The 16,250-nt window shown below is 34.6% G+C and overlaps 1 protein-coding gene, 1 long non-coding RNA gene and 1 pseudogene across 14 annotated transcripts in view; 1 reads left to right on the top strand and 2 right to left on the bottom strand.

The window, feature by feature from the left end:
* The window catches only part of EXOC1-AS1 (EXOC1 antisense RNA 1), a 58,421-nt gene extending 54,614 nt beyond the window's left edge, over positions 1-3,807 (top strand). For all 4 annotated transcript variants that reach the window (XR_007058123.1, XR_941066.4, XR_941069.4 and 1 more), the window contains one exon: positions 2,873-3,807. This is a non-coding gene — a long non-coding RNA (EXOC1 antisense RNA 1). The remainder of the gene's footprint in view (positions 1-2,872) is intronic.
* EXOC1 (exocyst complex component 1) overlaps positions 1-16,250 on the bottom strand; it is a 51,439-nt gene that overhangs the window by 11,688 nt on the left and 23,501 nt on the right. For 5 of the 10 annotated variants that reach the window (XM_005265747.4, NM_001024924.2, XM_005265748.2 and 2 more), the window contains 6 exons: positions 15,333-15,482; positions 9,471-9,576; positions 4,467-4,511; positions 3,013-3,176; positions 1,977-2,084; positions 688-764 (listed from right to left, as the gene is read on the bottom strand). In XM_005265747.4, coding sequence (XP_005265804.1) covers positions 688-764; positions 1,977-2,084; positions 3,013-3,176; positions 4,467-4,511; positions 9,471-9,576; positions 15,333-15,482 — 650 coding nt within the window. Of the gene's footprint in view, positions 1-686; positions 855-1,976; positions 2,085-3,012; positions 3,177-4,466; positions 4,512-9,470; positions 9,577-15,332; positions 15,483-16,250 lie in introns of those variants that run through there. The other 5 variants (XM_017008405.3, XM_005265750.4, XM_017008406.2 and 2 more) reach the window with 2 other exon arrangements.
* On the bottom strand, positions 7,698-7,804 carry RNU6-652P (RNA, U6 small nuclear 652, pseudogene; annotated as a pseudogene).

Below are 16,250 nucleotides of genomic sequence, written 5' to 3'. Positions count from 1 at the left end.
CCTGTAATCCCAGCACTTTGAGAGGCCAAGGTGTGCAGGTCACCTGAGGTCAGGAGTTCAAGACCAGCTTGGCCAACATGGTAAAACCCTGTCTCTACCAAAAGTACAAAAATTAGCCAGACGTGGTGGTGCATGTCTGTAATCCCAGCTACTTGGGAGGCTGAGTCAGGAGAATCGCTTGAACCCGGGAGGTGAAGTGCAGTTGCAGTGAGCTGAGATGGCGCCATTGCATTCCAGCCTGGGCAGCAGAGGGAGACTCCATCTCAGAAAACAACAACAACAAAAAACAAATAAAAATGTCTAAATATGATTATAGTAGTTTTTGATATAAAAATATTTTACTGATGTTGGGTTTTATCATTTGAATTAGTTTTAATTTGTAAAGCTGGGTCATGAAATGTGCTTTGTGATTTCTAAGAAATACACTACAATTCAAAGGCTTCCCCCTACCAGCAAACAACAGACTGACTTCATCTTCTGTAAGTCCTGGAGCAAGGAAGAGTTGAAGAGCCATAAAATAGGCCCTATTTTAAATCAGTAAAACGTTTGATAAGACAATGGACACACATGCTGGTACTGTGAGTGCTGTCAGGCTACTGAGAAACATCTAGACCCCTCAATGAGCAGCACTCCACATTTTAAAGTTTATTTTTTCCAAAATAAACAATGATAGTAACAAAGACATACTCAGATGAAACAGGCAGTGGTGTGCCACAATTATGTTGCCGTGATAATGTTCCTCCATCCAGGTCCTCTGCTTCAGCCTGCAAAAATTATTCAGGCACTTTACATAATAAAAGACCAACAATTTGACTAGTATTGATATAGCAAAAGCCTGCTCAGTCTTAAAATTCCTAGGAAAGAATACATTATGAAAAATATTTTTAAAGGTAGCATTATGATAAAGCTAGCTATATAATTTAGTATGCTATTTAAGAATGTTCATGAGATACTCTTCTTAGGTTTTATCCAAGAACTTTTGTGGGGTGAGAAGTTGTATTTGTGTGTGCACCTGAGGGGAAGTAGGGAGGTACAGGAAGCTGAACGCAAGGTGTGGGAGTGGGGGCAGCTTGACAACAACCACCACAAAAATAGAAAACGTCCAAACACAACTTTCAAAAGAGAATTTAAAAAATTAAGGAAATCTCATCAATTATTCTAATAGAACTTCAGCATTAAAAAAATGCTATAAAAAATTCTTACAGAGGCCAACAAATAAACAAATTTGCCACCATTACTACCATAACAATGAACACTCTAAACCATTTATCATAATCCATTTCTCATTTATTTTATGACTGCTTTTATAAGTTGGTTGTCTGTGGCATACAATTTTGAGATGATAATTTAAAAAACACTTTATTTGCACTGTTTTTAAGTTCTTCAAAATACTCAAGAAACTCTCTCATCTTATTCTCTTATATGTATGCTACCAGAAAGGCATGCTGAATAGGCACTATGATATCTACTTTACAGAAGAGGAAAGCTGGGGATCGAATAACTGGCTTAAGATCTCATGGCTAGTTAGTAACAAAGCCACAAGGAAGGCAAATCTGAGGCCTCATTTTCTTTTATTTATCATTATTGTTATTTGGTATACCAAAGTGTATACACTCTAACATCATTTTAAAACATTATATTTATCTTGATGACTACTAAAATGTTAAACTAGCCTTTTAAATAATGTTCTTTGCAAAGTAAACTCAGACATTCCTCCCCCCACTAATTTAGAGAATATTTAGGCTTGTAATATTCTGAAATATTAAATTAGATGCCCAAACTTCATCTGTCACTGTTTTTATCATCTTGTGGTATTACAAAAATTCCTTACATCCTAAATCCTTACATCATAAAAAAATCCTTACATGATAAATTCTTTCCTTTTCTCTTCTGATCATAAAATTGTGACCACATATTAATTAAGCTAATTATATTACAGATCATAAATACTATCCAAAATACACTGTGAGCCATACCATAGTTCCAGGCATACTTTGATGTTGCTGTAGTTTGAAAAATTTACTTATGAAGTCCTGTTCTGCCAGACATAGGGGCTCCAGTTCACTTAGTACCTGTTCAAAGATCTGAAGAAAACCAAAGTGATCCTATAACGAAAGAACTGCACCAAATGCTTAAAATAACACTCCACATTTAATTTTCTTTTCTGCACAGACCATGGATCCATAATCTCACTAATCTATGAATTTATAATCTCAATGGAATCCCAAAAACAAACTCTTCCAAGATCTACAGGACAATGGTATTAGCAAGGTATAACAAGGCCACAAAATAAACCTAAAATAAAACTCACAGTTATTCACTTCACATCTGGAAAGAGGAGCACAAAGATCAACTTTTAAAACTTATTTATGGCCAGGCATGATGTCTCATGCCTGTAATCCCAGCACTTTGGGAGGCCAAAGCGGGCAGATCACTTGAGCTCAGGAGTTCGAAACCAGCCTGGCCAGCATGGTGAAACCCCATCTCCACTAAAAATACAAAAATTAGCTGGGTGTGGTGGCAGGCACCTGTAATCCCAGCTACCTGGGAGGGAGGCAGAAGAACTGCTTGAACCCAGAAGGTGGAGGTTGCAGTGAGCTGAGACTGTGCCACTGCATTCCAGCCTGGGTGACAGAGCAAGACTCCATTTCAAAAACAAACAAACAAAAAAACTTATTTAATTTAGTACAGAGAAAGGCCAGCATCACAAAAGCTTTTATTTCCTCTTACTTTTTAGGTGCCCAAACAACTTAGATTTGAGATATAAGCATTTTATGATTTATAACAAATTTTAATAAAGCTTTTATGCCATTTCATTGATAATTCACATTTTACTTGTCCTTTGACTAGTTTTTTTTTTTTTTTTTCCCAGATTCGATTCAGTTGGAAAGACATGGTTAATGCTTAAGAGAGCCAGAAGAACCCAAATCTTTGAACACACTTAGAGCAACCACAAACTGCTGTTAGAAAACTAATGTTAATGTTTAAGAAGTACTTGTTATTTTAGTTTACCTTATCAAATTTGGTCCTGTCAGCAACATCGAGATCAGAGGCAGACATGTTTCCCATATCCAACAGGGAAGATGACTGAGATCTGCGATTCCCTGAACTCTGAACACTGAGCTTATTTAGACTAGAAGTAGATCCAGTTAATTTCCCCGAACTTCCATGAAGACCTAAGAAATAATAAAACTTTGAAAGTTGTGATCTTCACAAATAAATGATCCAAAGTATAAAGCAGGGATAGATCTTCTATCTTCTACTGGCTTGATCTTCCAGGGCTCATATTAGTTAGTGCACAAATCTTCTATAAGGGATAGGTGGTATAGTTTCCTTATCTTCCATTAACATTGGTGTCCTAATTCTGAGCATATTGAAAAAAGAAGCGAAACTACACAGATCCATAGAACGGGACTGAAAGGGACCTTAAGGAGCATATTGTCTATAACCTGCCCATTTCATAAAGTCGCCTGGTGATATCGCTAGACTAAAGTAGATGAGGGTTTCTTTTCCATTCAAAAGGACAGGAATATGGATGAAGGTCAATGAGGACCACGTTAGCATATTAGCCAGCATGACTTTGTTATACTTCAGAAGAAAACTGCTGCATCTCAATGTTACCTCCACAATAAATCAATATATTAGGTTGAACCACATGAAACTGCCCATACTTGATCATTTTGCCCTACCAAAAAAAGTCAATTACATATGATTCAACTTAGTATGTTCCAAACTCTGAAACTGCTTTTCCAGTAAGTGAACTGATTATAGTCCTTTAAAAACTAAATAAAATGAACAGAAAAAACACCCTGAAAACTCGTTATATTTAAAATACAGCCGAAATGTAATACATACATCACTAATCATATTAATATGGGACATCTGTGTTTAGGTAAAATTTTGGTATCCGTCATAGCCATGAGGAAAAATGAGAACATATAGCTGGCAATAGCTCACATACACCAAGGAATTAAAGGATTTGATTTTTAGAAGAAAATGTGATATTTTTATTCAGAATTAAACATAAACAATAACTAATATATTTTAAAAACATCCTTCCTGAATATCTCTCAGTTAACTTGTACTATTTGCTAATGGTCAGAAAAGACAAATGAAGACAGAACAGGTACAATTAAAGATAAACTTTGGCTTCATTATGTAAAATCCGACCATATCTATATAAGATTTTTTATAGTTTCTAAACAGCCTGAAAATAGAAGTATAATGGTTAAGTCTTTTCACAAATTTCTGACACAATGTTCTACTACTCGTCAAGTAATTTTAACTATATCATATATTTCTTGGATACAGCCATATCACTACCATCATGTTGGCTTTCTTTCACCAATACCTGGCAATTCAGAGCAATCAAAATTTTTGGTGTTACCTTTTTTCAAGACAACTAATTTCTAGACATTAAACAAACATGCATTGAGAATACCTACTAATACACTAAGCATACTCACTCTCTGTTTCCTGTTTGACAGCACTTTCTTTTCGAGGCAGTGTAGCTGTGATGGATTAGGTTGCAAGCATCAAAGACAAAGACAAGTTAATAAACTGCAATTTGCACAAACCATGCACAAGAGGAAGTTAAAGCTCTAGTTTAAAAGACACATGCAAAGAACCATGAGCATCAAGTAACAAGAAGTGCAAACACATGTTTAGTTGGTCACCTACTGTTTGAGAAATTATATGAGAGAAAAAACTTTACTTTTAATGTATTGTTTTTACTCAAATATTCAGGTAGAAATATCTATGTGTAACCCCCCTACACTTTAAAATGTTTTTTTTTTTTAAGTTTATTAAGCTGGTACACTTAAATTTAAAAGACTAAATTTGCAAGTTTGGGTTTCCTGAGAAAATATAATTCAAGTAAATAAAGTGGCAATTTATTAGAATGCAGCTGCAGATTTAGATGTCAACAATCTTGTATTCCCTGAAAACTCCTGAAAGGATTCTCCACTGACTAAATAATTTTATACTATATCCAACAAAAAATTATATGAGTGGGGCTTTAAAACCACTGAAAAGTTAAAACTAATTATCAAGCTGAATTACTTAATCACTGGCTTTGTGAGTGCTCAGAATGAAAGATATATATCATAACACTAACAATCAGATGTATGAATAAAAGGGTAAAGTTTAGGGAACAGATGTAATATAAGAATTTGAACTCTTTTTAGGTCATTAGGCATTTCTTTTATCTAAAACTTCTCTCTCTATAATATTTATTAGATCAATATGAGAGCTAATTTTGCAAAAACAGTCTATACTCAAATTAGAAGTTGATGTGAAAGGTGAAGAAAGATCATAGGATGAAACAGAATGTTAAAGAATAAAACTAAAACCTAAAAATATCTTTAAAACAGCAAAAAGATGTGTCAACTGACATTATCCCTGCCAAGCTTCAAGGCAAAAATCTTGTCACATCAGTGACTGGTATATCTTCATCAGTGACAGGTATATCTTTCTAGCCTTGGCTACCTGAAGCTCAAGGGAATATGAAAAAACAAGGCTGGACATTAAAGTGGCAAACAGGGATCACGCTGGAGCTACTAGCTAGCCAATCTGAACAGTACTTTCTGGTGCCTTAAGGTGTCACTATGCTATGTTCAGCAGTGCCAGAGCAAAATCTAATTCTTTATATGGTTTCCTTTTTTTTTTTTTTTTGAGGCAGGATCTCATTAGGTTGACAAGGCTGGACCTGAACTCCTGGGCTCAAGTGATCCTCCTACCTCAGCCTCCCATATAGCTGAGATTATAGATGTGGATCACCATGCCTGACTAGTTTTCTTTCTTTAGTAGTCAATAAGGAATACAGACTTAGTAGTAGTGCCTATTAATTATAATTTGAGGTTCATAAAACAGCCTATATCCCTTATCAGCAAGTGATAACACTCAGGTAAAATGTTAAATATCTTTATATAATCCCCACTAGAATGTAAACTTCATAAAGGTAGGGTCTTTGTTTACTGCTGCATTCCCAGTACTTATAACAGTGAGTTATTAGATAATAGGTAATTTATAAATATTTATTGAGTTAATCTTCCAGCCATCCCTGAATTCAGCATTGTATTCACGACTCTTTGGAATCAACAAGGTTTCCTAGTTTAGCGGAGAAACAATAATAGAATAATCTTGGCTATTTTAAAGATTTGGAATATTAAATTGGAAGGAGGGCAATGATTATGTAAATGTATGTATTAAGGGACTAATGAGAGGTGATATATATATCTCAACAGTAGAAAGTAAAAATGGTGACTAAAAAAAAATTACTAAATTTCCTTTCCCTGTCATTTCATTAAATTTGTAGAATACAAAGGAAAAAAATACACTGAAACATCAATCCTGTGGGAAAAAATTCCATGCCTTTGAAAATATCAAAATAAATCTATTTAAAAAGGCAGTAACCTACACAAAGGTCTTATCACAAAGAAAAGCTACTTCCCTGGTACGTTAGCATAATTTTGAATTATTTCAGCTAAGTAGATGTTAAAGACTTGACTCAAGAGTGGCTGAAAAAGAAAGGATTCTCTATTCCCCTGATTCTCTATCACTATATTGACTATATAGTTTCTTTTTGTAAGATGCATTCATTCTGACTATTCTTACCAGCATTTATTCTTACTAGCATTTGTGACCCAGAATTTTCAGAGCAAACAAGCAAGCAAAAAGCAAAATTAATTTAAATTTCATTTATAATTACTTAATTTTCATTCATTGAAAAGTCATCATTCTAAAATGAGATTTCTATTTTAATTATAATTACAGATGCTCCTTGACTTACGATGGGGTTACATTTCTTGTTTTTTTTTTTTTTGTTTTTTTGTTTTTTTGTTTTTTGAGACAGGGTCTTGCTCTGTTGTCCAGGCTGGAGTGTAGTGGCACAATCATGGCTCACTGCAGCCTTGACCTCTCAGGCTCAAGTGATCCGTGCCCCTCAGCCTCCTGAGTAGATGGGACCACAGGTGCATGTCACCATGCCTGGCTAATTTTTGATTTTTTTGTATATATGGGGTTTTGCCATGTTACCAAGGCTTGTCTCGACCTCCAGGGCTCAAGTCATCCTCCCGGCTCAGCCTCCCAAAGTGCTGGGTTTATAGGTGTGAGCCACTGCGCCAGGCTGGAGTTACATTTTGATAAACCCATTACACGTTGAAAATATTATAAAGAGAAAATGCATTGAACACACTCAACTTACTGAACACCAGAGGCCTAGCCTACCTTAAACATGGTGAAAACACATTAGCCTAGAGTTGGGCAAAATCATTTAACACAAAGCCTGTTTTATAATAAAGTATTGAATATTTCATGTAATTTACTGAATACCATACTGAAAGTAAAAAACAGAATGGCTATGGGTACTTGAAGTATGGTTCGTACTGACTGCAGACTGCTTTCAAACTACTGTAAAATAAAAAAATCCTAAGTTGAACAATTATAAGCCAGGACAGTCTACAGTATGAAAAATTCATTCAAACACAATTTGAATCACTGAAAAGATATCTTTGAAAAAAATGTACACTATATCTTATTTAGAACTTCTCAAGTCATTTGCATTTAACTTGAAATTAATTTTAAAATACTAGCTAAAAGTTGGATTTTCAAACATGAACCAATTTTTATTCTCCAAATTGTTTAGTTTTTCTTCTCCTGTAGCTGATATCAAAATAATTGATACTGTAATTTTCATTTGTTTTATAGAACATTTCACAAATTAGTGTGTCATCCTTGCACAGGGACAATGCTCATCTTCTCTGTATTGTTCCAATTTTAGTATATGTGCTGCTAAAGTGAGCACAATTTTCTATGCACTCAATTGTCACAAATAACTCTCCTATTCCTTGCTATTTAATAGACACATTTAATAGAAGATATGTGATCTTAACACTTATAAAACTACAAAACTACCTTTTAACCTGTATTATGTTAGTTAAAAATGTTTTTAACAAGATAATTTAAGAATTTCTCAAGGAGGAAAAAATTTAGGTTTCAGGTTAATGCAATGATAACATTAAGATACTATTGTACTTCAGTTATATTCTTATTATTTCATTTATCTTAATGTGAATCTTAGACTCGATAAACTATTATGATACTGGGATTAATGACCTACTCAGGAGATAATTTTAGAAATATTTCTCTCTTACCTCCAGTTTTCATATACTGAAGGAGTTCTCTCAAAATAAAATGGTTCACTAACAAGTGGTGACAAATATACTTAATGAAAACATTAAACATGTAACTGCATTAATAATATGCTGTTTACTCAAAAAAAAAAGCATAACATATCCACAGTGAAACATTAACAGGGATATAAACACACTGCTGTTTAAGAACAATTAACCTTTAGGATGAGTTAGCATTTCTGTTTCCGAAAGCCTACTGTCCCAAGATTCTTATCAGTATCTGTAAAGTGTAGCATATTTACAGACAAATTCAAACCATTTCAAATGTCTGGACTAGTATAATCAATATATTAGTGTTGCATTTTTTTAAAAACAGTGAGTTACAGAATAATTACCCATTAATGACAGTCTTCTCTGTCCTACAGAAAAGAATGGAAACATGTACTATCAGTTTTGAATCATGTTTCTTGATTACTGAAGTTGCTTAGGGCATAGGCTCCTTTCAACAGGCAAATGCTAAACTCATTATTCTAAAGGGGAGCTATGCAGACACACTGAGGAGTACACAATGTGGCCATTTAAGGCCAGGTTTTGACTTGAATAGGCACAAAACTCCATCCAAAAGGAACTCCAGAGATGGATACATGCAAGAGCAGAATGTGGCCTCGGCAAATCACCTTCCTCATAACTTGATACTGTCACTGGCTATTCTTTCAAATAATGTTTTTGTCCATTTAAAATACTTATAAACAACAAAAATTAACATGCATCAAAGCATCTCTTTAGAAAAATAAGGTAAAATAACATGAGAATGTTTGGTGACAGTTTTATAGCCCTTTGGCAGGGGAGAAAATATTTAAACTTTCTTTTTGATTCAAAATAGCCAGTGAGAAGTAAGAAGCCAGGAACCAGTTTCATTTCTATGTGGAGAGCAATGACTTAAGAGATTAGTGACTTGCCCCCAACTGTTATAAAAAGTCTTTTAGGGAATCAGTTAAACTGAACTCCCAACATCTGTCTCTCAGTCTAGTACTTTCTCTACTTGACTGCACTTCATTTTCTCACCAACTGCTGTTCTTATGAATATATATATTTGATTACAGCATGAATACACAATCGCTGTCACAGTCACATACTGCAGAATTTTAATTAAAGAAAATTTACAGATATACATATTTGTTCTATGAAACGGCTATAAATCAAGCCAACGTTTTAGACCTCTTTTTTCATAAATTCTGCTGGATCTACCTCCACCTTGCTTAAGAAGTCTTAGAATTATTTGTTATAAATAAAGCCATTTTTAATAGGAAGATAATGAACTGACATGCCTAAGCTTACCAAACTTCTTGCTTTCTTTAGTTGTGCCAGTCATCTTGATCTTTGCAACTTCAAAGAAATCTTTGATTTCTCTTTCATATAGTCGGGATAAATAATCCATGTAATTCTTAAAATAAAAGTAACATGTACTTCTTATTAATAAAACACATATAACAATTTCAATTTTTCAATTCCCCAAGTCCTTCATGCTTGTTTTAAATTTCATAGTCCAAAACTTTGATGTATTTCACAGGATATAAAAATAGGTTACTTTCTGTCTTAAAAAACAATTGAATAGGCATCATAACATTAACAATTTACAAAAATATGAAGTCAAACATAACCATATTTATATTTTCATTTTTCTATATTACCTTTTGCATATTTTAAATATCACTGTAATCACACTATACAGAATATCTAAATCAGAACAAATACATTTCTCCAGTCTCACATTTTAATGACAGCACAGTATTCAGTTTTGTTGGTGTAGCACCATTAAGTAAACCAATCCCCTAACACAGGACAATGAAGTGGTTTCCATGTTTTGCTATGATAGACAATGTTACAATAAGCTTTTCATCTCTAATGAACTATTTCTTTGAAATAATTTCTTAAGGATGGAATAACAGGGTCAAAGTGTATGGGAATCTTAATTGCTCTTCCTCTATATTGTCATGTTGCTTTAAAAACAGACCAATAATAAATAGTGTCAATGGCACTTAAGAATATTTAGTTTCACTGAGCCTCTGCCAGCTTGGGATATTACTCCAAAATAGGTTATTTTCCATAAGAACTTCATTAGTATATCTTACAGTTTTCAAAATCAAGTAATTAATTTTCTTAAAACAGATTTGATTAATTCTCGCTTAAATAAAAACATTTTTGTATCCTTTGGCATACAAAAATCATTTCTTCATCATCTCTACTTATTATCACATAAAAATATACTCTCCAGAAGAGTTCCTCAACAGTGGGAGACTGTATATTTTTCCAAGTATGAAGTTAAATGCCACAAACAGAATTTGACTAAATTTAAATAAACCAGAAAATAAAATTTAAATAAAGCAGAAAAGTTGTACCTATTCTTTTAAGTTTATCATAAAATCTAAGCTTCAATTTCCTATATTATTTCAAATTAATGTGTCAATTTTTAGAACATGTTTACCTGCTTTAAAGATCAGGTATACCTTCCAAAAGGTACATGTTGTGTAAATATTTGTATATTGATTCACAGTTTACCATTGATTGTCTTAAAATATTTTATAGCTGTATTCTTATAAAATAGCATTTGGACCAAACATAATATATATAGATCCTGTCCTTTTTCAATTTGTATGCCATATACATTTTTCACATATCTCTGTATCTAATGTAAGAACAGTTAGTCAAATGGGCAATTATTTCCCATGATCTTTGTATAACTTTAAAAGCAAATATAAATTAAAATTCCTATTTCATTGGGATGTATTACTTTTTCAGTGGGACTCAAATGACTTAGATACCTTTTTTCCTGGCACTCAACAGAACTGACTGATAGGAAAGACCACAGGAAGGTTTTACTGTATCAGTGTCTCTCCAAAACTCTATGATGCCAGCCTGGGCAACATGGTGAAACCCTGTATCTACAGAAAATGCAAAATTAGCCGGGAGCGGTGGCACATGCCTGTAGTCCCAGCTACTCAGGAGGCTGAGGCAGAAGGACTGCTTGAGCCCAGGAAGTTGAGGCTGCAGTGAGCTGTGATCACATCACTGCATTCCAGCCTGGGTGTCAGAGTGAGACCCTGCCTAAAAAAACAAAAACGAAAACAAAAACAAAACAAAACACAATACAACAACAACAACAACAAAAACCCTATGGTAAGTTTTAAATTTTAAGATGGTACTTTAGAATGCTAGTTCACCATCTTCTCTACTGGCTCTCTGATTTTTTTTTCCTTCCACTCACCTCAGCTTCTCTGGCTGATTAAATCTGCCTTTCCTCACAGCAACCCTTGCCTCTAGTGTTTGGCTTTCGAGTAGCAAGCAGTGGAACCTGGGTCCGCTGTAGGGTCTCCATGGTTTACTTTTTCTTTATACAATGTGAAAGGAAAATAAATCTTGGGGCCCCAAAATCACTAAGTTATAGGGAAAAGTCAAGCTGGGAACTGCTTGGGCAAATCTGCCTCCCTTTCTATTCAAAGTCATTCTTCTGCTCACTGAGATAAATGCGTATCTGATTGGCTCCTTTGGAAAGGCTAATCAGAAACTCAAAGGAATGCAACCATTTGTTGCTTGTCTACCTATGATCTGGAAGCCCCCTCCCCACTTTGTTGTCCCACCTTTGCTTCAAGTTGTTTGGCCTTTCCAGACCAAACCAGTGTTCACCTTACATATACTGATTGACGTCCCATGTCTCCCTAAAATGTATAAAACCAAGGTGTGCTCGGACCACCTTGGGCACATGTCGTCAGGACCTCCTGAGGCTGTATCATGGGTGCGCATCCTTAACTTTGGCAAAATAAACTTCCTAAATTGACTGAGATCTTGTCTCAGACATTTGGGGTTCACAACAATAAGACAAATTCTACAAATGTAAAACTGAGGTGGAGAGAAGACATGTGAGTCATCTTCAAGTCAGACTGCCAATCTCAGGAGGCTATTAGGAGAGGAAAACTCCTTTCCTACCCAAGCATGGATGGACCATCTCTACTAACTACCCTACATGTATGACCCAGAGTTGCAGACGAAGGTAGCAGTCCCGGGAGGAGGGAATCTGGGCAGTCCAAGCTACAACTATTTTCTGTATACCAAAAAATGGGGCTTTGCTTAGATTCAGCCTCAGTACAGCTAGAGGCAGTGGCTAGTGATTCTTATTCCCAAAGAATTTTGAACAAGTTTTTCCTGTTCCTGCCAAAAAGTGTGAGCTGTGTAAACCTAACCAAGTGCAAATAGCTTTCTGAATTATGATTTCTTACTAAAGAAACACTGATTGGTCTGTTTCCTTCTTTTTTCTTCATTCCTTTCTTCTTCCTTAAAATTCCTGTTTTTGACAACTCTTCAGCAACCAAATTAGATGATGAGGTAAAAATACATAATCTGTGAAAAGCTCAAATCACAGGATGACGCAACATTCCTGGGAAAAAGTCAATTTCATTTAAAAAGCTCATTAATATTGTCAATCAAAAATATACTCTGAGCAGAGAATGATTCCATAAATCATTACTAGGTTGGCTCTAATCTTGTTTCTTCACTTTAAATTACATTCATGAATACTGCATTATATATAAAGATAGGGCAATAATACTCACTGGGAACACAATTAGGCAAAAAGCTTATTGATTACTTATTTGAATATTCACTAGGGGACAAAGCACTTGTTGGCACAAAACTCTTAAGGAAATATAATTTATGTTTAATTATTCAGAATATTAATCCTCCTAAAACTTCAAAAGGCAAAGAATTCCAGTAATGTAAATTTTTTCCTTAAGATATCTCCAAATCTGAATTCTGTTGAATGAAAACAAGACAAAAGAAAATATAACACAACAGTGGAGGTGTATAATGCTTAATATACTAATTCTGAGGAACTAAAATAATCTCACCTAAAATAGCTAGCCAGACAAGAAGTATATAAGCACCTCAGGAGATTTTTTTTTTTGAAAAGCATTTTTAAAATTATAATTTAAAAATATTATTTATTTTACTAAGGTTTATATCCCTTTTCTTATTATCTCAGTTTAGAAGTCCAAGAGCCAGATTTTACTTTAAATGGGCAAAGGCACTTCAAAGAGAAAATACATGAAAACTGATACATAAAAATGTCCTACTGTCAAATACGTAAACACAAATGCATGGATAGGAATACATAATTTGCCTCCTTCTTACTATCACACTTTTCATAAATCTCTACCTAACCCTTCTGCTTTCTTCTGAAGCATGACTCTAAGATACCAGATAGAAGTTGCTTTTATATTAGCAATTCCAATATTCTCATTCCACAGAGACAAAACATATCATTATTTCCAATTCTAGAACATCTTTTAGGGCCATATTGTCCATATAATTATTATTAATTATTAACACAGCTTATGCATTAGATTTCTTATTTTTAAACTTCATATTCACAAAAACTTACAGATAAAAGATTTTAGATGTTTCTCAGAGTATTTCAGAATTTTAATAAAATGGATCTTCAGCCAGGACTATCTAGAATACTATTAGCTATTTACGTATTTGACTAGATAGGTGGGAATTCGTTAGCTCTATTTTTTTAAAAAGGGATATGATGTCCAATTCCTAAACTAAAGATCAACAGCATAAATGCCAGAAAAGGACTGTCCCTATGGCTTCCTGCTACAATGGCTATTAAATCTAAGTCAGGCCATGTCATTCCATGGCTCAAAGTCTACCATCTCCCCTCCCTACCCTGCAATGTCATGCACAGTAAAAGACAAATCTTTGCATGGTCCACAATCCCTTCCAGATCCACCCTGCCCCCACCAGGGTCTGCCCCTGGCTCACAGTGCTCCTACCACACTGGCCTCCCTGCTCTGCAAGCACAATAGGAACGCTCTGCCTTAGGGCACTTGCACTGTGCCTGGAAAGCTCTCCTCTGGAAATCCTTATCCCACGCCCTTCTCCCAGTCCTGGCATTCCCTGCTTTATTTTCTCTAGAACACTCAGCAGCACCTTTTAACATACTATATAATTAACTTTTTTGTCTGTCTGTCTCCTCTAGAATACGTACTCTGAGAAGGCAAGTATTTGCCTGTTTCCTTCAATGCTGTATCTCTAAGTGCTTACAAGTGTTAGCACGTAATAGGTGCTCAATTCATTTACTGATTGAATATATGAATAAATGACTTTGCTCTTCCCCAAGTGCAGAATTTTAGTCAGCAGTATATACTACTGTTCTAAACTCCAAGCCCAGCAAGTTTGGCATCAACCTGTTCCTTCTGCTGTTGGAGTCTCTCTTTTGGTTTATATTCTCTATCTATTCCCAACACCATCTTCCTGGCTCAACACTTCATTTCGTCTGAATTATTACTTTAGGTTCTTAATTAAATTTCCCTCATTTAATCTTTTCCCATGCTTGAGGAATGCTGGTAGGTCCCATAGCTCATCTTTTTCAACATAATTTCTCACTGCCCTAGAATAGGAAATTTCTGCTTCGGTCACCCTTAACCTCATTGTTCTAGGACAAGCGTGTATTTTTCCCACCTTTGTCTGCACATCTCTCTCCCCATCCCTGGAATGCCCTTTCTCTTATTTCTGGTTTATTTAATTGCACTCATTATTTAAAATCAACTGAAGTCTGATATTGTCCATGAAGTTTCCCCCATGGTCTCGAGACAGAGATTTTCCTTGTCTATACTGCCACATGCTTAAAATTCATTTCCAGTTTAGTGTTTAATTTTTTGCTGATTGTTTTATGTATGATTCTTCCCAGTCAGATCTAAAGCGCATTAGAGTAGATGCTTATTAGGTAGGCCCCAGGTGCCTGGAATAGTGGAATGCTTGCTTAATAAAGAGGCACTTTATATTTCCTTAACAGAACAGATTATAAATCCACAGAGGGCAAATACCTCACTTGCAATGCTCATACTTCCTTGTTTCTATACTGTACATAAAGAAACTCAGGAAATAAGCATAGCATTTAACTAAATTGATGCTTTAGGCTACAGTATGGCTTAATATTTTTCCATACTGAAGTTTAAAATTTAGCTCTCCTTTATCCAAGTTAATAAAATGAATGTTATCACTGGTAAAGAGCACTGACTCATTTTCTGCTTTGCTAAGAATGTACTACAGTATTTTAAACTTGGGGAACTGAACACATGACCTCTTAATTCTAAAAGATAATGCTCTATTCTCAGTGAGTAAATGACGTCAAATCCATACCTTTGTTAGTCCTTCATATTTTCCATAATCTGTACTCTTTAGCCACTCCATCAGCTTGGCATATCGGAGCAAATCTCTATGAAATGGATGATGATTGGGTAAAGTCAGTTCAACAGAGTGTTGGGCAAGAGTCGAACTCTGATCATGACCCTAAAGTGAGTAAAATAAGTAAATAAATGTAATCAACAGTACAAAGAAACGTTACAATAAAAAGTCTAAACAATGACCAAAATGTGGCCAAGCCAAACCAATAAGACATAGAAAAATAATTAAGAATAGAACACAGAAAAATAAAAACCAAATACTTACACAACTTTTATATCCTGTGTATATCAAATGAACATTACCACCATAAGATAATCATAAATACGCAAGAATGGCACTCTGATAAATCAACTACCCATTCCGTCTTTTAAAGGAATGAAGATGGAACGTTTTAATGAAGCTTGTCTCTCTCATACCATATTTCACAATTTACCAAGCAAATGACCTTCTTGATATAGCTTGAATTAAGAAACACAAATAGAGAAATCATTCAAAACAGTCTACATTTATGGTATTCCCATTAGAGTTTGTAATATTTAAAACAACAGATAAAAAAAAGTAGAATATAAAGTCTTAGAGCTTGGAATTGGAACCTTGGTCATCTGAGTCTTACTTCTGTCTTGGAGCAGATTCAAATTGAAAATACAATTTCCCAACAACAAGCAAAAGGCAAACCAAGACAGATTTATTTGATGTAATTTTCACTCAATCTAATTTGCCTAGATAGCCAGAAGTTATTTGTCAGCATTTTGTGAAAACTGTATTAAAATTACACAGACTGCTAGAGTTTTGGAGCTAGTTAACTCATTTCCTGATAAGGTTACCTAAAGCTAATTATGAATGTGTATCATACTAGTTGGTACACATTAGCTA

This window comes from Homo sapiens, chromosome 4 (assembly GCF_000001405.40).
Source record: "Homo sapiens chromosome 4, GRCh38.p14 Primary Assembly".
Lineage (NCBI taxonomy): Eukaryota > Metazoa > Chordata > Mammalia > Primates > Hominidae > Homo > Homo sapiens.
Note: the sequence above shows the minus strand (reverse complement) of the source record. Positions and strands in the feature narration are given on the sequence as shown.